Source organism: Homo sapiens, chromosome 6, assembly GCF_000001405.40.
Source record: "Homo sapiens chromosome 6, GRCh38.p14 Primary Assembly".
Classification (NCBI taxonomy): Eukaryota; Metazoa; Chordata; class Mammalia; order Primates; family Hominidae; genus Homo; species Homo sapiens.
In genome coordinates, this window is record NC_000006.12 from 104336109 (window position 1) to 104362522 (window position 26414).

At 36.1% G+C, this 26414-nt stretch overlaps 1 long non-coding RNA gene across 1 annotated transcript; it reads right to left on the bottom strand.

Annotated features, from left to right (window-relative positions):
• Nucleotides 1-409: 409 nt before the first annotated feature.
• LOC102724443 (uncharacterized) lies at nucleotides 410-23668 on the bottom strand. The gene is made up of 3 exons (XR_942829.2): nucleotides 23633-23668; nucleotides 2294-2576; nucleotides 410-1619 (listed from the first exon to the last, which is right to left on the bottom strand). It is a non-coding gene; the product is annotated as an uncharacterized LOC102724443 (long non-coding RNA).
• Between the last annotated feature and the right edge of the window lie 2746 nt (nucleotides 23669-26414).

The following is a 26414-nucleotide window of genomic DNA, read 5'->3' on the forward strand; positions in this document are numbered from 1 at the left end:
GATAAAGGAAGAAAAATTGTACTTTTAACCAGCCTGTGTTCCACTGCCTGAAGAAAGAAAAAAGTCAGAGAGCTCTCCTTAAAAAAAGAAAGAAAGAAAATGAAATGATTACTGGAGACAGGACTGAAAATAAAACTAAATTGTAAAAATCAAATCAATGTTTAAAAAGAATCAAACTCAGTTACTTGATCCTTAAAATTTTAAATCAGTGCAAAAGCTATAATTCCCTTTTCATAAACATATTCCAGCAGATTTTTCATTCATTTCCAACTGCAGAAATTTTTACTCACTTGCTCACATACTTTCACACTCAATACTTTCACAATCCTGACACAAGTACCATTAATTTCTAATAAAAATTAATTTATACATAAAAACATTTATACATATTTGTTAATTAACTGTCACAAAATATGATACAAAAGTGGTTCAACAAACAAAATATTACATTGGCTCTTAAAACTTTTTCACATTTAAATTTTAAAACACTATTGAAGGCTGTGCTCTCTCAACAGAAAACATAACTGGAGATATTCTGCGATGGGCCTGGCAACAGAGGGAAGGACTCTGAGTTTCCTTCTTGAAGAGATTAATTCTCCTCACACAGAAATAACTGTAGTATCTAAATGTCACTCAATGGTATATAAGCTTCACTGGCCCATAAAAATAGCACTTTCCTATGAATGAAAAACAGGATTAAGATCAAGGAATAAAGGCCATATTTTTAGAAGTTGGAGATAAATTATTTAAAAATATGTGAGCTGAATATGGTGAGCTAAAATATAAGGAAAGGTACCCATCTATTCTCTGCTTGGAATATGTATGTGTTTTATTACGCATTATATACTTGGTAATATATTATAAAATATTAATTCAACATCTACACTTTTAGCTACTCAGAATGTAGTGAAAATTAGATACATCTTTGATATAATCTAAATTTTTTTCTGATTCTTCGGTCTAGCTACAATCTTTCTAACAAAGAAGGTTAGGAATTTAATAAATAGTCTTGAGACTTATGAGAAATGAATGAAATAAAAAGGAGTTTAGATTATGTAAAATGTCCTTGATCACATGCTGATCGATCAAGAGTTAGGGCAGCCCTGCCTGATGAAAGACAAAGCTTTTGAAGCCAGACCTTGGTGTGAGTTCTCTGCTCCTACCACTTACAGCTGTGTGGCAAGAACAAGGCAAGTATCCTTTCCAATACTGGTTTTCCTCATCTGCAAAACTGGAATAATAATTCATACCTTGCAGGATGTTTTAGGAATTAAAGATAACATGTCAAGTGGCCAGCATGATGCCTGGAACCAAGGTGGATCCTTAAAAAATAATAAAGGATAGTTCCTCCTCCTTCTCCTCCTCCTCCTGCTGCTGCTGCTGCTGTCCTCCTTCTCCTCCTTCTTCTGAGATACTTTTTGTTCCACACAAGTAAAGCCCATTTCTGATTGCCTGACTTAGTTGGTAAAATGTAAAATTAGACAGACGAATGTCGCTTTTCTTACCTCTTGGAAGAACAAAGTTATGTTTGGGATGTTGTCATCACCACATCTTCAATTGAAAACCATTAAAAATCAGCATTTTCAGCACTTCAACATCAAGAAGCCACCCTGCCAAGCCTGTTTAATAGAGAAAGCATCAAATAAATTGTGAGATTTTAATTACATTCAAGACTCACCAGTTAATATTGGCATATGCTGGGCAATAAGTTGAATTCATTAAGTCTGGAGATTGTGAATTGTTTAGCTATGTCCTCAGAGTTTTATACATCTCCAGCCACATAGTAGGTGCTCAATAAATGTCCATTGTTTAACTAGGAGCAGGAATTGAAAACTATAGAATATCAGAAACCTTGTACATCACTGGTTTAATACCTCCATATTGACTAATGGTTTCCATTCTTATTATTTCATTTATTCAACAACTAACAAAGATTTACCAAGTATCTATGCATAAGACACGGTGCCAAACACTGGGGATACGGGAGTGAGAAAGACAGACAAGGTCTTAAATGAAATAATTCAGGTAAATAGCACAGTGCCTAGCACACAGTAAGCTCATTAAAAATGACAGTAGCAGAAGTCACAAATCTTAAATGAAATAATTCAGGTAAATAGTACAGTGCCTAGCACATAGTGGGCTCCTTATAAATGAGAGCAGTGGAAGCAGCAAATCAGGCATACAGACATCCATACCAGCCGCTGTCATGCACTTGCTCGCTCTCTGTCTCTCTCACGCACACACCCACACACGAACACCTAAAAATCTTAATGGCTTAGTTAAAGTCCATCACCTCAGAAATTCACATGGAAAAAATGAGCTTTTTTTTTCTTTGACTTCATTTTTTTTCTTAGAACTGTTCAGTGAGTATCTTTGACTTCATTTTTTTTCTTAGAACTGTTGGCTATTCATAAAATATCCTTTCAAATTAATGAAAAAGTACTTGTTGTCATCAAAGAATCTTCAAGAATCTTCAAATTTTCTGTAACTTGGCAGCCTTCTGCTCATGCTGTTTATTTCCAACAGAAGTGAATCTTTGAAGTTGACAAGGTGTTCATGGACAAAGCAGTAGTTTGCTTTAAAAAAAAAAAAAGAAAAAACATTATTTTTGTTTTACCCAAGACCTGGTTAAGCCTGATTTGGAAAGAACAAAGCCTGAGTTTCCAAAACTGCTGCTGGGCCACTACAGAATGGACTCCTTCCCACTGAGTGACGTCCAGAGGCTCCCTGTGCAGCCACTGAAAGATATCGATTCACACTATATATTTCTGCACCTCATTGTCCAGTCTTAGACATTTGATTACAAGAGAAAGCTACTCTGTTGAAAGATCATTAGCCGATATGATGAAAAAACACTTCCTCCCATGGACACGCTTTGAGAAACAATACAGGGTTCAACATGTGAGATCAGAAGTCAGAAAAGCCTGACTCCAACACTAAGGCAACAGCTCAATACTGATAATAATATCAACAACTACCATTTATTGTGTGCTTCCAAGTGCCACAATGTACGAGGTGCTTTATACACACTATCTTACGGACATACTAGAAAGAATGCCAGTGTACATCTGTTAGTGGATCTGCTTCACCACTAAGCAGCTTGTTGAGGAAAACATTTGTTCTATACTCTTGCTGTTCCCTTCTACATGGAGATATTTCATTGGCTTCATCCTCCAGGCCTCTGTCCATCACCTCACTTAACCCTGAGGGTGAATGGCATATCTGGCTAGTGAATTTAGTAGGAGAAAGTGATCACTCAAGGACCAATGCCCACCCTTTTTATCACTCAGGAATGGGCCCACCAAAAAGAGAGCTTGTCAGCTTCAGCTCCGCCATGTCCTTCTTCTTGCAAGTTCACAGCCCCATTTAGATAGGCCTCCCCAGGAAAGCAGAACCATTCCTAAGGTTCATTCTTTGGAGGTCCAGTTGCCCACAGAAATAAGCCACATTCTAATATGTTGCTCATAAAGTGATATTTTGATTTGCCCCTTAGATGACTATCTCAGTTTCTTTCTCAGCTGGTTCAGAATTTGGGAAAGGAGACGTCATGATGTTTTGAAGGACATTCTCTAAGATTTTGATTCTTAAGAGACTTACATAATCTTTCAGTGCCTTAATTTTCTTGTCTGTAAAATAAGAATGAACATAGTGCCTAGCTCATAGACTCACTATGACCATAAATGAGACAATACCTACAAAGTAAGTGAAAGACATATAATAAACACACAATAAATAATATTAGTGAATAACTATTAGCAATTATAATTGCTAATAAATATTAGCAATTATAATTGCTAATAAATATTAGCAATTATAACTACTGAGATTGTTGGCATTATTTTAGGACTTGACTAAATTTCCTATCAGATCTATCCTCCTTCTAATATTCTACAGCTTTGTTAATTCCAATGTTACTTTACAAATAAACTTTTATCTTTGAGTAAGTCATTCTCTGAGACTCAAAAATGATAATAATAATAATAGTATCTGGATGACAGGGTTTCCCTGAAAATTATATATGAGAAAATTCATGTTTAGCCTAGCACAGTGTCTAGCATATAATGAGTGTTCAATAAATGATTAGTATTATTACTATTACTGTTTTATTTTTGTTACAGATCATCTAATTCTCCTCATTTTCATCCATGCCTTCACAATTGTGTAACAGTGTTTTATCAATTTTTTGATAATTGATATATGTATTTTCCTTATGTCTAGATGGTTATTACGTTCAGTCAAACCCCAAGATCCTCTCCCATTTTTTCTAATTTTCATAAAGTATAGTATTGCACTTTTTTCCAGTAAAGAAATGTAGAATGTTTGCTTCAAAGAAAAGAAGACAATAATGAATCACATATCCTTTAGTTTTAGAGATTTGGTGATGCAAGTCACATGCTAACCAGATGTTTTCTTTTAGATTATTGTCACCCACACCCAACAAATAATGAGTAAAGAAAGAAAAAGTATGCAAAAGGCAAAATAATTTAGGAAGCCAAGTCTCCTCTCTCATTTCATCAGAATAACTTCTCTGAGGGCTTGACATTTTCTACATGGAGTTTTAACTCAGTGCTAAAAGCAGCAAAGCTTTGTATTTCCTGGTAAAACTAAAAAAGATGAATATTTTCAAACCGCAATATGGTCATTATGAGCTGTAGCACGTACACAAACATACAAAAAAGGAAAGCATGTTCTCTCTGAATTGAATTGAACTAAAGGACATGTATATTTAGCAGTTCTGTAGAGAGTATACTAAATCTTCAAAACATGGAAGGGGAAATAAATATTCTATCAATCATGACTCTGAAAAATATTTCAATTCAAGCTGAAGGTTTTATTAGTATTTCAACACTATAAATTCACGTTAGTCTTCAACGGCATATGTTTAAATGGAGATCATAATCATCCAAGTTGACTTTTCCACTTAAAAGTACAAAAAAATAAGTTGAAAAAGCTTTATGATGTCAATGTAGGAATATTTCCATGGAGTCAACTAGAGTTTCCAATACTATAAATACTCTATGAGGGTTTGCTCCAGTGAAGAATTATTTTAAATACATACCTATTAAATCTTTCCATAAACTCAAACTCTACAACAATAATTACCACAGGAGGCCCATTCTGTTGTAATTGATCATATATATATACACATACATACAGAGAGAGGGAGACTGAAATTGAGAGAATGGCAAAGAGAGAGGCAGAAACACAGAGAAAGATACAGAGACAGAGGAAGACAGAGACTGAGAAAAACAGAAAGAGAGAGAGAGGACAAAGAGAGAAATGTATAAGGAATTGGCTCATGTGATTATGGAGGCTGAAAAATCCCAAAATTCATACTCCAAAGGCCTGAGAACCAGGAGAGCTGATGGTGAAAGTTCCAGTCTGATTCCAGAGGTCTAAAAAGACCAATGTTCCAGCTCAAAGACTGTTAGGCAAAGAGAGGGAATTCTCTCTTCTTTGGTCCTTTGTTTTTCCTTTCTCCAATGTATTTAATGAGTTCCACTCACGTCAAGGAGAGCAATCTTCTTTACTCATTCAAATGTTAATCTCATCCAGAAAAACCCTCAAAGACCCACCCAAAAAAATGTTTAACCAAATATCTGGGCGTTCTGTGACCCAGTCGAGTTAACATATAAAATTAAACATTACAGATAAGTAAGTCTTTTGTGACTAAGTAAAAAAATAATGTAGCATAAAACTTAATACCTATATATTCAGGCATTTTGGAAATGAACTGGTTTGTTATATCACTGCCTGCTTAAAATTTTTTCCCAGTCATTGTTGTCCCCTCAAAAAAACAAAACAAACCAAAAAAAAACCCCAGTAGATCTCTCTGTAATGGTGGATGGAAATAGCTTTAGTATAGAGACCCCCTTTGTAGACCAAGCAAAATTACTCAGAAGTAAGTCAGAATTTTTTTCTCTCAGATTTATTCTGTACATGAAATGATATAATAAGAATAATTTTCTCCATATTAACTTAAAAATTAAACAATATACCCTGAATATATGCATGAGATTTTTCTTTAATGTTACAAAATAATTCTAAAGTTCATCTGTATATAAAAACTCAAACAACTGGCCAGGCACAGTGGCTCACGCCTGTAATCCAAGCACTTTGGGAGGCTGAGACGGGTGGATCACTTGAGGTCAGGGGTTCAAGACCAGCCGACCAACATAGGGAAGCCCCGTCTCTACTAAAAATACAAAAATTAGCTGGGCATGGTGGTGTATGCCTGCAGTCCCAGTTACTTGGAAGGCTGAGGCAGGAGAATGGCTTGAACCCAGGAGGCGGAGGTTGCAGTGAGCCAAGCTTACGCCATTGAACTCCAGCCTGGGTGACAGAGCAAGACTCCATCTAAAAAAAAAAAAAACAAAAAAAAAAAAACCTCAAACAACTCAATAGCAAGAAAACAAGTAACCTGATTTTTAAAATGGGCAAAGAATCTGAATAGACATTTCTCAAAAGAAGACACAAATGACAAATGGGTATATGAAAGAAGTGCTGAAAATCACTAATCATCAGAGAAACGCTGTTTAAACCCACAAAGAGATATCACCTGATACATGTTAGGACAGCTATTATCAAAAAGATGAAAGATAACAAGTGTTGGAGAGAATATAAAGAAACAGGAATCCTTGCACTTTGTTGGTGGGAATGTAAATTATGACAGCCATTATGGAAAACAGGATGGAAGTTTCTTTAAAAGTTAAAAATTGAGTTACCATATGATTCAACAAGCCCACTACTATGTATATATACAAAGGAATTGAAATCAATATGTTAAAGAGATATCTGCACTCCCATGTTCACTGCAGCATTATTCACAATAGTCAAGATATGGAACCAACCTAAGTATAAATCAATGGGTGAAGGATGAATATATTTGTGTGTGTGTATATACACACACACACCCCCACATTATGTAATATATAATATATATATAATAATATATAATCCAATATGTATATAATGGAAATACTATTCAGTCTTTAAAAAGAAGAAAATTCTGCCATCTATAATAGTTCTTCTAATCCCTGTTGTTAAGACTAGATAATTTCCACTGTTCTATTTCCCCATTCTCTGATCATTTTCCTCTGTTCCCTCAATTCCACTGCTTAGCCCAACCATTGACCCTGTTCATCCATTCCATTGTTTAGCCCCTCCACTGAGTGTTATACTTGTTATTGCATTTTTCAATTCTAAAACTTTCTATTTGGCTCCTATTTATGTGTGTCATCTATTTCTTTATTGAGAATTTCTTTTATTTGTTCACTTATTTTAAACATTTTCATAATTTTTCACTGAAGCATTTTCATGATGGCTATTTTTACATCCTTGTCATATAATTCCAACATATCCATATCAGTGTTGATATCTGTTTGATATCATTTCTTGCTCAGTTTGAGATTGGTTCTTTGTATGATGAGTGGTTTTCTACTAAAATGTGACATTATGAGTATTATAAGAGCCTGAATTTTATTTAAACCTTCATTTGAGTTGGCTTCCCATGATACCATTCAGGCTGAAATTGAGATTCGCCACCTCATTAATGCTAGGTAGGGATAAAAGTCCAGTTTTCCCACTTGACATCTCTTGACACTGAAACCACCTTTGAAAAATTACAACCATGAGAGAAATCTAACACAGCTGACTCCATCTTGCTTCTAACCTCACCAGCCAAATGCCCTTGCTCATTCTTGGGCATAGGCCAAGCTAACCAGAGGAGGAATTTAGTTTATAATTAAACCTTAAAGCAAAGATGATAATAGCCCCCTCCTTGTTCAGGGACTAAAACTGCCTTTGTAAAACTATGAAAGCCCACAAGGTTAGAATTACAGAGAAGGGACTGAATTATACTAAGACGTATGCATACGCAACAATCAGCCATTGTTCCCTAGCTTGCTTACTGCTCAGGAGTCATATAGCCGGAGGTTCCAAGATTTGTAACTTCCCCAATTTCTCCTATAGATAACATCACTATTGTAAACCTAAGACTGGTCCTTGAATATTTTTAAACTTTTGCACTCTGGCAAACTGACTTATGCCACTTGGACCCATGACTTATAATAAGGAACTGACTAAACTGGTCCTGTGACCTCCACCCAGAATGTGACTCAGTACATGAGGACAATTCCAACACTCCTACAATTTCATCCCCAACCAATCAGCAGCACTAATTCCCTAGCACCTGGCCTGCCAAATTATCCTTAAAAACCCTAGCCTCTGAGCTCTTGGGGAGGCAGATTTGAGAAATATCTCCTGTCCTCTCACTCAGCCGCTTTGAGATAAACTCTTTCTCTGATGCAACACCACTGTCACAGTGTATTGGCTTTTCTGTGTGGCAGGCAAGAAGCCCCATTGGGCTATAACAACACCCATGAAACTCCTCATTATTGCTGAGCAGGAATGAGATTACTGGCCCCCGACATGGCCTCCACTGACAACAAAGAGGGGTGGCCTCATTAATGTTGGGAGGTGGTGAAAGTCTTTACCTGCCAGTATGTTTCCTCTGACAATCCTCCAGCAATGAAGAGAAGGGGGTACCTCATTACTACTGGGTGGAGCTCCTCAAATGCTCTCCACTGACACAGCAAGAGAAGGTGGGGTGGGGTTCAGCTTCTTTCCACCATATGGGGAAAAACTTCTAACTCTTTACAGGCGATTTACTGACAGTGACAGGGTGGCAAATGGGTTAGAATGTACCACTGCACCCTTTGATTAAGATGAAAGTTGATTCTCCCTACTAGGCTTTTGTTCAAGTGGATGGGGTGGGGACCATAGATTTTTCTGTGGTGTTTTGCTGGCATAAAGCTCATTTATTGTTTAAAAGTTTTGTCTTCAAAAGCCGCCATTTTCCTGGTCTTTTGGCTGGAGAATAAGTTTCCTTTGAGTCTCTTTTTGTCTGCGCCCATAGGCGTTTCTGGGTCTCTGGCTTCTTTAACTCCAAGTGTTGGATAGATAGGCAAACATAAACCCCCAGAAATCATCACAACACTGCTCCTTGAGTTTGAGATCCCTAGCCGGTTTGTCTCTTTCCTGTCTTCAGGGTCTCTTTGTATTTGTTTTTAATATAATATCCAGGCTTTTTAGTTGAACCTAGTGGAAAGATTAGAAAATACTACATCTACTTCATATTTCCAGAAATGGATTTCTCTAAAAACAATCTTTTAAAATAAAAGCAAGATTAGATGACATACTACCTGATATAAGGACTTAAAGCTATCGTAGTCAAGATAGTGCAATAGTGTCACAAAGATAGATGATGTATCAATGAAATAAGAGAGTTCAGAAATAAACCCATACATACACCATATATTGACTTTGGACAAAGACATCATGGGAATTCAATGAAGAAAGGAAAGGTTTTTAACAAATAGTGATGGACCACCTGGATAAACAAAGGAAAAATAATGAAATGATTTCTGCCTCATGCCTTGCACAAAATTAATTTGAGATGGATCATGGACTTACATGTTAAAGCTAAAATTAAAAAGCACGTGGAATAAAATATAACAGAAAATCTTAACTAGCTTGTGGAAGACAAGGATCTCCTAAAGATATAGATAGTTCTGTTCTCAGTCCTTTGAGATATCTGCAAACTACTTTCCACGGTGGCTGAACTAATTTACATTCCCAACAGTGTATAAGTGTTCCCTTTCCCCACAGACTCACCAGCATCTGTTGCTTTTTGACATTTTAATAATAGCCATTCTGACTGGTGTGAAATGGCATCTCATCATGGTTTTGATTTGTGTTTCTCTGATGATTAGCAGTGTAGAGCATTTTTAATATGTTTGTTGGCTGTTTGTATTACATTGGTGCAAACAGAACTGCAGTTTTTGCGTGGTTGGAATTTGTGGTTTGATATTGGAATACATTCTTAAATAAATGTGATTATGTTATACATCATTTTAATGGGCATTTCTCACTTTTTTTGGCTAATGACTTATTACTTGCTTTTTATTTTATGTTTAGTTTAGACTATGGAAATGATGTTAGACAAAAAGCAAATCTGAGCAATTTTCTTATTGAAGTTCAAAATGAGTCATAAAGCAGCAGAGACAACTCACAACATCAACAACACATTTGGCCCAGGAACTGCTAACATACAGTGTAGTGGTGATTCAAGAAGTTTTGCAAAGGAGACAAGAGCCTTGAAGATGAGAAGCGTAGTGGCCGGCCATTGGAAGTTGACAATGACCAACTGAGAACAATTGTAAGCTGATCCTCTTACAACTACACGAGAAGTTGCCGAAGAACTTAATGTCAACCATTCTACAGTCATTCAGCATTTGAAGCAAATACGAAAGGTGAAAAAGCTCTATAAGTGGGTGCCTCATGAGCTGAGTGAAAATTTAAAAAAGATCGCCATTTTGAAGTGTCATCTTCTCTTATTCTACACAACAACAATGAACTATTTCTTGATCGGATTGTGACATGAGACAAAAAGTGGGTTTTATATGACAACCTGCAATGACCAGCTCAGTGGCTGGACCAAGAAGAAGCTCCAAAGCACTTCCCAAATCCAAACTTGCATCAAAAAATGTTCCTGGTCACTGTTTGGTGGTCTGCTGCTGGTCTGATCCACTACAGCTTTCTGAATCCAGGCAAAACCATTACATCTGAGAAGTATGCTCAGCAAATCGATGAGATGCACAGAAGACTGCAATACCTGCAGCTGGCATTGGTCAACAGAAAGCGTCCAATTCTTCTCCATGACAACACACAACTGCACATCGCACAACCAACACTTCAAAAGTTGAACAAATTGGACTCCAAAGTTTTGCTTCATCTACCATACTCATCTGACCTCTCACCAACTGACACCACTTATTCAAGCATCTCAACAACTTTTTGCAGGGAAAACGCTTCCACACCAGCAGGATGCAGGAAATGCTTTCCAAGAGTTTGTTGAATCCCAAAGCATGAAGTTTTATGCTACAGGAATAAACAAACATTTTTTCAGCCAGGCATGGTGGCTCACACCTGTAATCCCAATACTTTGGGAGGCTGAGGCAGGCGGATCACAAAGTCAGGAGTTTGAGACCAGCCTGACCAACATGGTGAAACCCCGTCTCTACTAAAAATACAAAACTTAGCTGGGCATGGTGGCACGCGCCTGTAATCCCAGCTACTCAGGAAGCTGAGGCAGAAGAATTGCTTAAACCTGGGAGGCAGAGGTTGCAGTGAGCCAAGATCGCACCACTGTACTCCAGCCTGGGCGACAGAGTGAGACTCTATCTCAAAAAAAAAAAAAAAAATTATTGGCAAAAAAATGTTGATCATAATCGTTCCTATTTTGATTAATAAAGATGTGTTTGAGCCTGTTATCATGATTTAAAATTCATGGTCCAAAACAGCAATTACGTTTGCACCAACCTAATATGTCTTCTTTTGCAAAGTGTCCATTCATGTTCTTTGCCCATTTTTTAAAAGCATTATTTGGTTTTTGCTTGATGAATTGTTTAAATTCCTTATAAACTGTGGCCATAAAAAATAAATAAAATTATGTCCTTTGCAGCAACATGGATGCAGCTGGAAGCCATCACCCCAAGTGAATTAATGCAAAAACAGAAAACTGAGTGATCCATGTTCTCACTTATAAGTGGGAGCTAAACATGGGGCACATATGGACATAAAGATAAGAATAATAGACACTGGGGACTACTAGAAGGAGGAGAGGGGTAAAGAGTAAGGGCTGAAAATCTACCTTTTGGGTACTATGCTTGCTAACTGGGTAACAGGATCACTTGTACCCCAAACCTCAGTGTCACACAATATACCAGTGTAACAAATCTGTACATGTACCCCCGAATCTAAAATTAAAGTTGAAATTATAAACGATACAAAAAAAGCATTAAATCTTAAAGGAAAATAAAACGTTAAACTTCATAAAAATTAAGAATTTCTCTCTTCAAAAGACACAATTAATAAAATGAAAAGGCAAGCCAGAAACTAAGAGATAGTAGTGACACAAAAAAAACCTGAAAAATGACTTAAGTACAGAATATTTTAAGAACTCCCGTAAATTGGTAATAAAAATAAACAACGTAATTTAAAAAGTGCAAAAGATTTAAACAGACTCTTGGCAAAACAAGATAAATGACAAATAACATATGAAAAGGTGTTTAATGCCATTATGCATCAGGGAAATGCAAATTGATACCACCACAAGATCTCATTTGTCATGCACTAGAATTATTAAAATGAGAAAGAAAAAAATGACAACACCAGATGCATGTGAGGGTAAAGAACAACTGGAATTCTTATATATTGTTGAAGAGAGTATAAAATGGTTCAACCACATTGGAAAATGATTGATTTGGCAGTTTCATGCAACATTAAATATACATTTACACTGTGACCCACCAATTTCACTCTCAGTTATTTCAAAAAGAAGTAAAAACATATATCCACTCAAAAAAAAAGATTTCTACAAGATTTTTTATAGCCACATTACTCATAATAGTAGAAAACTGGAAGAAACCCAAATGTTTCTCAATAGAAGGTTACACAAAAAAGTGTGGCTTATTCTTATAGTGGAAGTTGATTTGTTAATAAAAAATAATTAACCCCTAATACATATGAGAATATTAAAAAATGCACAAACATTATGATAACCAAAAGAAACCAGGAACAAAACTTTGTCGTTTCACTGTATGCAAATTTTACAATTAAATCATGTGATGCAGTTTTTTAAAATGTCTATGATTAAAACAATGGAAAAAAAGTTACCAAAGAAATTGATAAAATATGTAAACATATAGTTTGTGATTCTTTAAAAAATATTACATAAATATAATTGAAGGAAGAATTAGAAAAATATGTAGACCAAAAAATGATAAATGGTTAATATAATTACTATTTATAGACCTAATACAAAAATTTGAAAATCACTGAAACTGAAATAAATGGATAAAAGTCTTAAACAATTTGCAAAGAGAATATGCAATTAAGCAAAGATGCCTAACTTTATATTCTTGTTAAACGATTCTCTTCTTAGTTCTTTGAAACATACAACAGTGGTCCTAGCCTCCCTTGCAGCTACTGGTGGCCATAGGACACAAGAAAAAATATATTTTTTTCCCTTTTCTTCTTCTTGCTTTTCCTTCTTTTTTCTCCCAGAACAAAAAAAAAAAAAAAAGCAGATCGGTACTATAGCTGCTGTATTGTGACCACAAGGCAGCAAGAATGACGGCAAAAGTCAGGATATTCAGGATGGCGAAGTGAAGATATAAAAAGAACTTGTGTTTCTAATGTTGCTTTTGAGCAGTTGAATCAATTTCACTCTTGTTATGTGAGGAAATGCCATGTGAGAAAAATAATGCTCACACTTCCTTAAACCACAACTACGTTTTCTGTTATTTTTGGCCAAAGACATTTCTTACCAATACACCAATAAACATTTGAAAAGCATTCAGTATCAAAGAATAGTAAAGCTATGCAACAAAAATATTTCATTTTTTATCTTTCAAATTGCAAATACTTTTAAGAAATGAAACTATTCAATAGGATGAACTCAAATATGCATTTTTTTAATTTACTACAAGAGGGAATGTAAATTTAGACCTATGTTTTGGAGATCACTGCAATAATATGTAGAGGCCACAAATGCTGTTTTAATCTAGTTTATTATTTTTTGTCACTGTATTATATATTACAATCATCATTAATAATTGTTTGTAACATAGAATTCCATTTGCTCACAGCTGTCATTCAAGAATAGTGGCTTATGTTTTTCTCTCACCTTCCAAATCTCTCACTTGTGCTTCTCATTGACAGAATGTTACCTACAACACTACAGGTCAGGGATTCTGGGACATGTAGTTCCCAAGAAAATGATTTTAGGCAATGTAGTTCCCATAGTGAAGAATCAAACAATGAATTGAGAAAAGCCAATTCAGCCCAACACAGAAATGGCTAAGTGAATTGTGGACACAAATGCAGTTCAGAAGGTCATGTTTACTCCTCCAGTATCCTGAAATACATTACATGGTTGAAGCAAACAGAATATTATATCCATCTCTTAAAAAGTTGTAAGTTATGAAAAATTCTGCTGTAACAGAAACCTATTCAACGTTGCCTAACCCACCTTAGACAAAACTTAACTGGCTAGAACACATATTAGGAAATAGTAATGTATTTCATAAATATTAAATTATTTACAAAGTTTTTTAATATGGAAAATGTATTATAAAATATACATAAAACTGAAATTTAAAAAGCATGAGATAAAAATGTAAGTACAATTTCCAACACTTCTCTTCCAAGGCTCAGCTTATTAATTTTTACATCCCCTGGAGTCTGCCCACTCCTCCATGGAAACCATGGTTATTCTAAAATGTAATTGTTTATACCTTGCAACCCCCAACTACCACCAGCAGCATCACAATGGAAACCTTAAAAGAAGCAGACATAGTGTCTATCTTATTCACAGCTGTATCTTTAGTACCTAGAAAAATTCTTGGCTAATATTAAGTAATTGTTGAACAAATGAGTAAACTTATAAATGAATGAATGAGATGCTGTTATGATAGAGCTTCTGTTACCTCATAGGAAAGACAAATAATGGGACAGGGAATGTTCTTCAGAAAAATGTTTCTGGGCCAAGACTGAGTGGTAATTAAGCACTACCTAGCCAAAAGAAGGAATGGGCATTTCTGAGGAATTAGGAGCAACCTAGGGAGAGAATTGAGATGATTGTGGTTGAAGAGAAATCAATATAAGTGGAGAGCAGGCTGTGTAGTGAGGTCAGTAATAGTGACTTCAAAAGGATAGCCAAGGTTTGGGTGAGAAAAGATTTTATGTACCATGATGAGGAGTTGAAATTTTTCCAATTTTTGCAATCTGGGAAAACTTTCTTGGGAGCAAAATCTAAAATAAGAGGTAAAATTTGAGTTGAAAATGTTAAAAATTGCATCGAACCAGATGAGAAATAAACAGAGAATGACTTAAAGCATTAAGGGGAGGGGTTTATATAGAGAATACAAAAAAAATCTGCATCACAAATTGAATATAAACTATTGAAATAGGAAAGGAAAGACAATACTATGGCCTAGGCTAGAAACCTGAGTAGATGGTGATATTAAACAACAAGAAGGAAGTAATAATAACCACGACAGAACATACTAATGCTGGCTTATTCATTGAGTGCCTGTTTCAGAAGCGAGTGTGAGGCATGAGGGTTGCTCCTTTACCTTCTCATAACCAAGTTAGAGATCACTGAATGATTACAGATCTCTTTCTTAATAATCTTGGACATTTCCTCATAGCTCTCCCTAACAGAACACTCCAATGGTTACTGTCAGAGTCAACATGCCAATAGAAATTTCATGGTCATCCTTAGCTTATTATGTTTCCAGCACTCAAAAGAAACCTTCATATATATATATATATATATATATATATATATATATATATACACACACACACACATACACACACACACACATATACACATATATATGTATATATAGATATATAGGGAGATATATATGCATATATAGATATATAAAGAGATATATATCCCTATTTATAGATATTTAGATACATATATAGCCCTATTTAATCATTGCAACAAACATTTTATTGTATTCATTTTATAAATGATGAAACTGGCATTTAGTGTAGTGAGTATAGAAGCAAGCTATAATCTCAAGTCTCTCTGACTCTATAGCTTAGACACACACATGCCCCTCCCCTCAAAGCCCATCTTGCCCAGTCTCAAACCCCACTCTTGGAATGAAGCAGGTGACCACCTAGATAACAAAGTCTTCCCTAGATACTTCTATCTACAGAACTACCTCTGGAACCTCCAGTAAAGATTTCTAGGAGGGAATTTAACAGGTCTGTGGTTCAGGAACACTGCAGGGGCTTCAAAAGTAGGTTTGGAGGCCATGAGCACGCAGGTAATAGTTGAAGTTATAGATGAGATCACCAAGAAACAGGTATAGAGTGAGAAGAGAGGAGAGGAGAGCAGAAGAGGGCACAAATAGAAGTAATTCAAGGATTTGCCTAGGAGCTGATAGGAAGAGATGTTATTTTCCTCTAAATTTGGACCAGAGGTCACCATGCAGAGCCTAGGACTAAGAACAACATCCTGGAAAGCAGAGCCAGTATATGAAGAGAGACCCAGTGCTGCATCTTTACCTATCCCAGGGTTTTTTAGGTATGTGAGCCAATATATTCTGTTTTTTATCTAAGCTGATTAGTACTGGGTTTCTGACACCTGCACCTGAAAGATCCTGACCACTGCCTTTCCTCATCAAGATGCTGCAAGCATCAAATGATAAAACCAGTGGAGAAAAATCTCATGAATTTCTGTCATAGAATAGGTTTTCCATAGCCATTAGCTAACCTTTCCTCAGTGACCCTTCAAGTCGTGAATGCCAGACTTTCCACCCATTATAACAGCCTCTTAAACTGGCTGTGCATGATCTATTAGGTTGGTGCAAAAGTAATGGCAAAAACCGCAACTGCTTTTACACCAACCTAATTCTTGGATACCATTTTTCTCACTATAAAAATCACATACTGTCTAGCTGGAGGATGGTAAAGGTTATCCTATGTTATCAGATAATGAACAGTTGGTGGGAAGGGCTCATAGTTTAAGCATCTTATTCTTGTTACTATTGACAGAGTCTATTGCTGATAGTATCCAGTGCATCAAAGAAGCACCATACATGTTAGTTTAATGAACATGACATCAGAAGCTTTTCCTCATGTGCTGTACACATCATCCGTTTAAGATAAGATTTCCAGACCCCAAAGGAAAGACTTGATACTTTTGCAGAGAGACATTCTAAAGCTTCACATGGATCTGACTGAAGTCAATGTTTTCATACATCATACTAAGATTGTTTAGCATAATTGCATAAATAAGCAGTGATAGACTCTATCATTAAGGATTTGAAACATCCCTTAGGTCTCAATATCTGAGATAAAACTGTAATGCATATTGCTTGAAAAGAAGAGAATTATTTTAGGAAAAATCTGTTTCACCACCTAAGATGGATGCTGTAGATGTTCAGTTTTCCAGTCTTGCCAGTCGCAGTGATTTCCTTTTGCTTTTTTACATTGCTGCCAATGTGTGTGTTAAAGTCTTCTGTGATATACAGCTTGCCAGGTGTAGCTGAGTTAACTTTCTTAAGTTCATGGAATTGTTCTTTTGTCTCATTGGTATTCATTATAATAAAAACCTACACTCTGTGTTAATTTTCAATTCCCCAGGTAGCGTTTTTCACTGTTATGAGGTGAACCTAATTCCACAGTTGGCCATTAAACACCTGTGCTTAAATCATGGGTATCTTGCTTCTTTCCCTTGAAATAACTTCTGGATTAACATTACATTCCAGATATACTGAAATTTATGTGATAGCTGACCTCATGATCTCAACCTTTACTGACCAAATAGGCAGACTTTGGCATTAAGAATGAATGAAGCTGAATGATATGTAACAACGTCAACAGATTTTATTCTTTTTGGTGACAAAAAAAGTAAATGTACCCATGCTCTCTAAGACATGCTGTTTGATCAGGAAGAAGGCAAAAAGCATTCTAATCTTTCATCACAATGCCCTTCAGAAACATCAGCGTGTGTGCATGCATATACTGTTATCTTTTGAAACTAATAAAAATCAGTCACTGAGGAAACGTACTGACATCTATCAAAAGTAGGGCTGTTCTCAGTCCGCGATGCTCACCATGAGCAGAGACGTAGAGTGATGTACAAAAACTTACCAGGCAGAACCCATAGACCATATAATCTTCACAAAAGCTAGAAAAACCAGTTTTTGGACAATGTGACATTTTACAGAACACATTCAAGTTAGTACTCTCATGAGGGGAAAAGCCCATAAACCAAAAGTTTCATGCACAGCATGATTTTGGAAAGGACAGAGAATAGTAAGATACAATCTATTGGATGCAGTAATATTTCTGCTAACGTGAAATTCCAGTCTATATTATTGAATGAACAATAATCCAAAGGAGAGCTACATTTTATTAGGTTAAGAAAATGGAAATGACTTTGTGCTTTTCTCAATAAAATGTGAATTATTTTAAAAGCCCATGAAGTTATTAATGTCTTTGCCTGAATGTCAGATACTAAGAAAATCAGAGGCAATATTTTTTAAACAAATTTTGCTTTTCTGGCAAATTCGCTTGGTGAAAATGAAGACTGGGTCTGTGTCTTCTTGTTTGTGTTTCCCACAGTGACTAGCACACAATGGGCTCTACGTAATAAATGTTACATACAAATGAGATGACAATTGGTTGATTAAAGGACCCAGTTCAGATGTCAACGCTGCCATGAAATCCTCCATCCTACCTTTCTCACTTCAAAAGTTCTATAGCACAGCCCTTGCTCCTCTCGTTCATCAGGTTCTAGAATTCTGTCTTGAAAAAAGATTCTACCTTCCTAGCTTTTGCATTGCCACAACATTTTACACACAATAAGTGCAGACTCATTACAAATAGGAAAAAATGAAATCATTGAATAAATAATCCTAACCCTCACCCATTTGCATTTAGATGCTAATTTCTTTTTTCTAAGCTGACAGTCTCATTCCTGCTGAAAGATAACTCTGGAAGAAGAAATGACTTGACACAGGAAAAGGGACAGACTAAAGGGAACACAAAAACAAGTATCTAACACAGTCATCCACCACAGCCACATTATTTTCCAGATAAATAAACTGAGGGCCAGAAAAATGAAGCAGCTTGTCCCAAGCTACTTTATGGCAGTGGCAGAACTGGAACCCAGTGCTCTGATTACTATGTTAGGGCACTTTTCACTCAACTCTGCTGATGCTGAAAAATGTAAACCTCAATAGGACTTGGAATGTGTAATTTCTTTCATTCAGTTTGTATCATTCATTTGCCACCCACATTTGATTATTTGTATGGGCTCTCTATGTCTTTTTCCCAAATTTCCTACATAAAATAATAATACATTGATTAGAAACAGAAAAAAGAAAAAGAAAATAACAAATGAGTGAAATGAACATGAAAGCTGTTCTGTAAATAAGTTCTTGTTGTTCCTTTAAAGTGTTCTTTATTTTTAAACTTTCTATAACAATATGTCTTATCTCCCTAATTAGCTGAAGACAGGGGCTATGTAAATACTTATTCCTATCACTGTGTCAGCTGGCAATAAAGTATGTCTACCAGGATATTCTAGTCATTGAGGGTCCTGGAGGAATTTCACAGAAGGCAAATTAAGCACATATTGAACACATTAGCTAAGGGGGGAATTAAAAATTAGTGAAGTACAACTTTGGCAAAACTACTCATAATTTGACAATCAAATAAATCTAAAATTAGTTTTCAATGAAAATACTAATTTCAGCATTTATGAAAGTTTTATGCCTTTGAGTTTGGCTTATTTTCTTTTTTTAAAAAAAAGTATGAAATGCATATAGCAAAGAATAGAAGGTGAGGCACTGTTCTCTTTCTCAGGGCCGAGGGCTTCTAAGACATTTAATTCTGCTGTGCTGAGGCAAAGAAGAGCAATGGTCAAGAAGACCAAACAAGATAATACATGTGTTAGGGACAGGGGGCAGAGAAATTCTAGGCAGAAAAGTGTGGGTTCCAGGCAAAACCCCACTCTCAAGCCAAAAAGCCTGAAACCACAGCCCAAAGGGAGAACTTCTATCCCTGTTTTCCCACTCAAATGTTGCCTTTTCCTAAACCACCCACGGCCCCACCTGGCCACATCCTATGCCCATAAAAACCCCAGACTCAGCCAGTAGATGGGACTACAGCTGGACGTTGGAGATAAGCAGCTTCACTTCAGACAGACAGCTTGACAGTGTAACTTCAGAGAAGAATCTGGCCAGAGATGGCTGGACTTCAGGGGAAGATTACCTTCCTACCCTGTCCCCTTTTCACCTCCTCTTCCTGCTGACAGCCACTTTCATTGGCAATAAAACCCCCCCACATTTATCATCCTTCAATTCATTCATGCAACCTCATTTTTTCTGGACACCAGACAAGAGCTCTGGAGCCACAAGTATGGATAAAAAAGGCTGTCACACTTGTCCTTTGCCCTCGCTGGCAGAGGACAGCCACCTCACATGAAAATGCAAAGAGTCCACTGAGCTGTTAACACTTAAGCCATCCATGGATGGCAGAGCTAAAAGAGCACTGTAATACACCCTCTGGAGCTTCAGTAGTCACAGGCACCCCTGCCTGGATGCTGCCATGAGGCCTGTACAGAGTTCACTCTTGCCAGTGCTAAACCATCTGGCTGGTTCCTGCACCTGCTCACCTGCATGGTCCCTCCCACAAAGGGTGGAACGCAGCAGGTCCAAGTGAGTGGAGTTTGGTCCCGCTGGTGCCAAAGGGGCCAGCCAGTTCCAGCACTTGTTCACTCCAGTTCCTGCACTCATTCACTCACACGCCCCCTCCCACAAGGAGTTGAGAGCAGCGGACCCTTGTGGCACCCTTGTCTCGAATCCCACAAACAGGTCAGGGAAATATCCTGCTTTACATGTATGTGCTTTGAACAACATCTGGCACAAAGTAATATCTTAATAAATTTGAAGCATTATTATGAGAGACCATTATTTTAATCTAACCAGGCACAGTCTCAGGCCTCACAGAGCTTACTTGTTTGTGTATGTTTAATAAATTTTAACTTGGAAATTCAAAGTGAAACCAAATGTAATATTACTACCTATTTTATGTTTAAAACCAAATAAATGGAACATTGGAAAAAATAAAGCAGGTAGCTTATAATTTGATTTAAAAAGAAAAGAAATTTTTTAAGTTTGGCATTATCATTTTCTAATCTCTGCACTAATTCTCAATTTTTTTTCAATATAACTAAACCTTTAACAGATCTAAATTTCACCTGAGGAAAAAAGTCAATCTCCTCACCAGTGCAAAAAATAATATTGCCAGCCTTACAGACTCTGATAAAAATTTTAGAATATGAAATTCTTGCAATTACATGCATCTAAAATTTCACACACAGCAAAATACAGATGATTTTCACTAGAGCTGTTTCTATAAGATAATTCATTTCAGTATATTCATTGACAAAATATATTCTGAAGAAAAAGATTTCTTTACCACAATAGACTTTTAATTATAGAAACTGTCTTTAATTATAGAAATTGTATATATATATTTGGCAAGAATTTATTATCATAATTGGTTCTTTTTAAAATTACATTTTTTTAACTTGCTATAGGCTAAGGCAGCAAAGAAATATGGAAAAACAGTGCATATTTGGTGATATCCATGTGGCTTTCTTTCTTTTCTTTAATTTCCTTTATAAGGCAATTTGGAATAAACAAAAGTGAACTAATAAAAATTCCCCATATGTTTTAACTTCAATTTGCAAATCCAATTTTTGAAAAAACAGAATTTGTAGCCAACTTGCTCTAAATCAGATCACTCATCCTTCAAAGCAACCCACTTCTCTAGACAATCTAAAAACTAGCAATTTTGCCACTTTCACTGTCAGCAAATGCTTCTACAGAAATGCTGTGAATGTTTGTTGGGTGTGTTTTTTTCTTAAGTTTATGAAGCTGTTTAAACGACAAGTATTTCAATTTATGACTGAGCGTTCTATAGAGCTTAGTCTGTATAAACCATACCACTATTTAATATTCTAACTGCTAACAACATCTTCCAACACAAATGAACACATTTTTCTCCCACATTAGGGAATTTTTAGAGTAGCAATATGGCAACTCCAGGTGGTGTGGTTCTCCGTAGATAATCACTCCCTATGGAAAGCTTCCCTCTTCAGAGGTGATGATCACCAGACCTCAGTCATGCCTTCCTGCTTACATACATGCTGATGGCAGCAATCAGAAACATTTGTAAGGCCTGAGGAGCATACAGAATTTATGTTATTTGCCTATGTGTTAATAATAAAAACTACTAACTCTGCTGGCAAGGCTGTATACACTTTTACAGTCATCATAATTAAAAAGTTTTAGTATGTGGTTTTGTGTTGCGACACCATCAATCAAAGTCCATTTTCTGACATTTGTAGCAGAGGCAATATGTTCCACATAGGTTATTTCTGGAATTGTATTGCTTACTGTAATAGAGTCCTGTCATGTAGCTCTATTGCACCAACTTCACCTGCTCTGCTGCAGCTGCCTGTGCTTTGTCCACTTGTATAATCTCTCAAGCGTGCACAAAGTAGACCGATGGAGAAGGAAGAGAATTTTTTTAAGAATTATATTTTATTGACCAATATGTACAAATCTAAATTTATTTCTCTGGATAGAATTTGAATACTAAAACATCAATCTTCTAGATCTCTTAGTTTATTTAGACTATATGCCTGATGTAACTGGCCTTCAGAAAACCTTAATAGTTTTTGTATTTCCTTTCATTAATTACTTAATAATCAAAAAAACCTTATGGACAATGTCAATTTTTTTAACAGAGCTGCATTGTCTATTTCCTGTTGTTCTCTGCTCTATAAAACACACTTTGGTGTGAGATAGCCCTCATTAAAGAAGACAAACTTCTTTGAAAAAGAAAGAATCACAAGTTGAGAAACATTTATTTTATGCCTTTGACTCCGTGATGAAACGTTTCAAAGGCAGAAAGGGGACTGAAAATGGAAACTGACAAAATGATAACATAAGTTGGTTGGAATTTGACAGAAAATTAGAGTGTCCTTAAGTGATGTTAAAGAGAGCAATGTGTCTATTGCAGATGAAGCATAGCAAGAAGGAGAGCTTTCCTTAATTACAGGGAGAGAAAAATTCCAACTATTGCCAAATTTAATTTCTTTCCCTGAATTTAACTGACTACATAAGATTTGACATGCTACATCAGTGCATTATGAAAATCCGTCACAATTACTGTCAAATGTACAATGTTTTGCTCTAAAAAGCTTCTGAATTAGACCTATTTCAAAATATAGCAAGAAAACTGACCTAGCACATGTTCATACCAAGGGACATATTGTTTGAAATAAATATTTTACCATATTCTTTATATTGGAGAAGTTAGGGGATTTAATTTGTAAATTTGTTCATTTCTAATGAGCTTTAATACAAACAGAAATCACAAAATTAGGAAAAAAAAAGAGGCAGGGACAAAAGGAATAATTTTAACGTGCATTTTTACCTTTTCTCAAGATGGTTAAAATCATAACAATTGTTTTCTAACAGAAATGCAATGGAATACTGTTCTTTTAAGTGATTTTAATGTTAATTTTAACATAAGATATAGGTGCACATATATTCAAAATTATCTATAGTAGATAGTATAGACATGATAGATAGATCATTGATTCACGGATAGACTTTTTCTCCAAGCAAAAAGGCCGGTAACTTAATAATGAATAATGAAATATGCAATAAAAAATATCAGGCCAAGCATTTATATAGATGCCTCAACTAAAGGTAGGTTAAGCAACATTTTCTTCTAAAATAAAATTAAATTCATCACTGGATATGTGTAATTTTTCTGAAGTTTAATTGAAACTATGTGATTTTATTACATATATCCCCACCCTGCTATCCCAGATTTTTTATCTTTAATTAAAGTTTTCAAAAGATACTTGTTAATTATTTGGGGAATGGGTTAGAGATCTATTCTCAAACTAGAATGTTTTATCTGCCAGGAGAAATGTGGAAAGAAATTAGAATACCTGTTATTCACATTAATAGAAACTCCAGTTCATAGATGACTTTCAAGCCCGTTACCACAGCATCTGAAGAGTTCACAATTCTAGGGAGGAAGCCAAATATTAAAAATATACATCCTGGAGAGTGCTTGACAGTACAACCTTTGTGAAATAATAGAAGAAAGAGTTACAATCACTTTTTCAGAATGTCATGGTTCAAAAAAAAGATATGACAGTGGCATAGATTGCTCTAGAGACTTGGAAGATGACATTGACTCTCTCACATGCATATCAGTTCATCAGAGAGCAAAAGTTATCCTATCTGAAAGTAGCTACAATGACCTTTGTGTAATGAATTAATGACTGTAGTGCATTTCCAGTGACCTCCATCACATCATAAAAATTTTCATTAGGACAGTTATTTGCAGACTGATTGGAGAACCTAAGGAATAAACAGATGTACACACACACACCTTGAACTATTTGCCTTCTTCCATATATAATTCTCTGAGTGAAGTATTACTGCAGTAAATATGACTGCTTTACTGGTGTCTTTCATTTTAAGTCAGTGTGTTTATGTTAATTTATAAAGTCTTAGAAAACTGGAATCCCTTCTCTCTCACTCTCTCTCTCTCTCTCTCCAGATAGACAGATAGATAGATGACAGATAGATAGATAGATAGATAGATAGATAGATAGATAGATGATAGATAGATATATAGATAGATCTGCCTATCAATATAATATCACAAATGTTCGGTAATGAGCAAATGAATTTTGGTGGTGATAGTGATGGTGGCTTTTTAAAGACAATCCTAACTCACCTAGTTTGGTTTAGGTACTCTTTCTCTATACTCCGACCATGTCCAGTGAATCTCAGTCACTGCTCCTATAAAAGTCTTATAATTATACGTTGATATTGATAAAAAAAAAAAAAACTTCAGCTGAGTTAAATTTAAAGGAATTTAATTGAGCAATGAACGATTTGCAAATAGGGCAGCCTCCTAAGCCAAAATAGGCTCTGAGACTCCAGGGCAGCCACATGGTAGAAGATGATGTATGGACAGAAAAAGGAAAGTGACATACAGAAAATAGAAGTGAGGTACAGAAACAGCTGGATTGGTTACAGCTCAGCATTTACCTTATTAGAACATGGTTGGAACAGTTGGCTACATTTGATTGGCCAAAACTTGGAGATTGGCACGAGTGTAGGCTTCAGTCTATTTACAGCTCCACTTGTTACAGTTCACGATATAGAGAAACCTTTAGGCTAAACTTAACATATGTAAGGAGGCAGCTTTATTCTAAACTTGATTTAACAATATGCCTGCCTCTTTTTTTCTGGATTCAGACCACCTTGAAGATGCAAATTACGTCTTCCTCCTTTCCAAATCTCCAACAGCTAGAGTGTAGCCCATTATTTGTACTTCATGCTTACTGATTTAATTGGTTAGTTATTCCATCCATCTTTCCCATCATGTTGCCTCCCATAATACCTATCCAACTTCAGTCTTTACAAAGAGAAGTTAATATGAATTCACATAAATACTTGAGTTTCATGAATCATTCTTTATGTTAGAAATATAGCTTCTAGGCCGGGCGCGGTGGCTCACGCCTGTAATCCCAGCACTTTGGGAGGCCGAGGCGGGCGGATCACGAGGTCAGGAGATCGAGACCATCCCGGCTAAAACGGTGAAACCCCGTCTCTACTAAAAATACAAAAATTAGCCGGGCGTAGTGGCGGGCGCCTGTAGTCCCAGCTACTTGGGAGGATGAGGCAGGAGAATGGCGTGAACCCGGGAGGCGGAGCTTGCAGTGAGCCGAGATCCCGCCACTGCACTCCAGCCTGGGCGACAGAGCGAGACTCCGTCTCAAAAAAAAAAAAAAAAGAAAGAAAAAGAAATATAGCTTCTAATGTGGCTGTCTTGCAAGGTCAGGAGCAGGTGAAAGAAGCAATGGAAAGAGATGATCTTTGGATCATCATCAAGGTATTAACTGTGTGACTATTACCAGGAAGCCTGGACACAATTCAAAAAAGCTACACTTTAGATGTAAGCTGTACGGCCAGCCACTGATGCCACCCACAGAGTTACAAAGTGTCAGACACACTATTCTTCTGCCTTCTATTTTTCTTATCTTGAACTCTGTGGCCCATCTTCTGATCCCCTGACATTGACGGGATAGTGGGGCTGATGGTTATATCTACACTTCAGATTCACTACAGCTTTCTCCAGAGAACACAGGTAAGGACTACCAGTAAAGGGAGAAGGAACATCCACGTACAGTCTTGAAATAGTCACTGACAAAGTTAGTGGCCACACTGCCTCTTTTCACTGAGCATCTTAGAAGAAAGGTTATGAGCCCCATATAAAATAAAGTATACAAATGTGCCCCACCTACATGGCTGAATTATAAAAATTATAGTCTCATAAGGTAAAAATGATTTAATTATTTTTGTTATTAAAACTTCCTGTATCCCTAATATAATGTCTTACATGCTATGTATCCTGAGTGACAGTACAAATAAATACTTTCACTTGTATTTATCCGTTATTACCTCACATCCCACTGAGGCAGACACGGCAGTGTTCTTTATATTTGGAAACCTTTGGCACTGAAATGTGAAAAAACTCCTCCCATTTTGGGTAACCCCCATGGTTACACGGCCAAAATATAGATCATAAAATACTTGGATGGGTGAAATTTAAACTTTTTTAACCTGGATTGGCTCCAGGGCATCCATGAATACATTGAAGTTTTTACAAAACTTGTTCCTATGTGCAGTTCTTTTTTTTTTTCTGGCTAA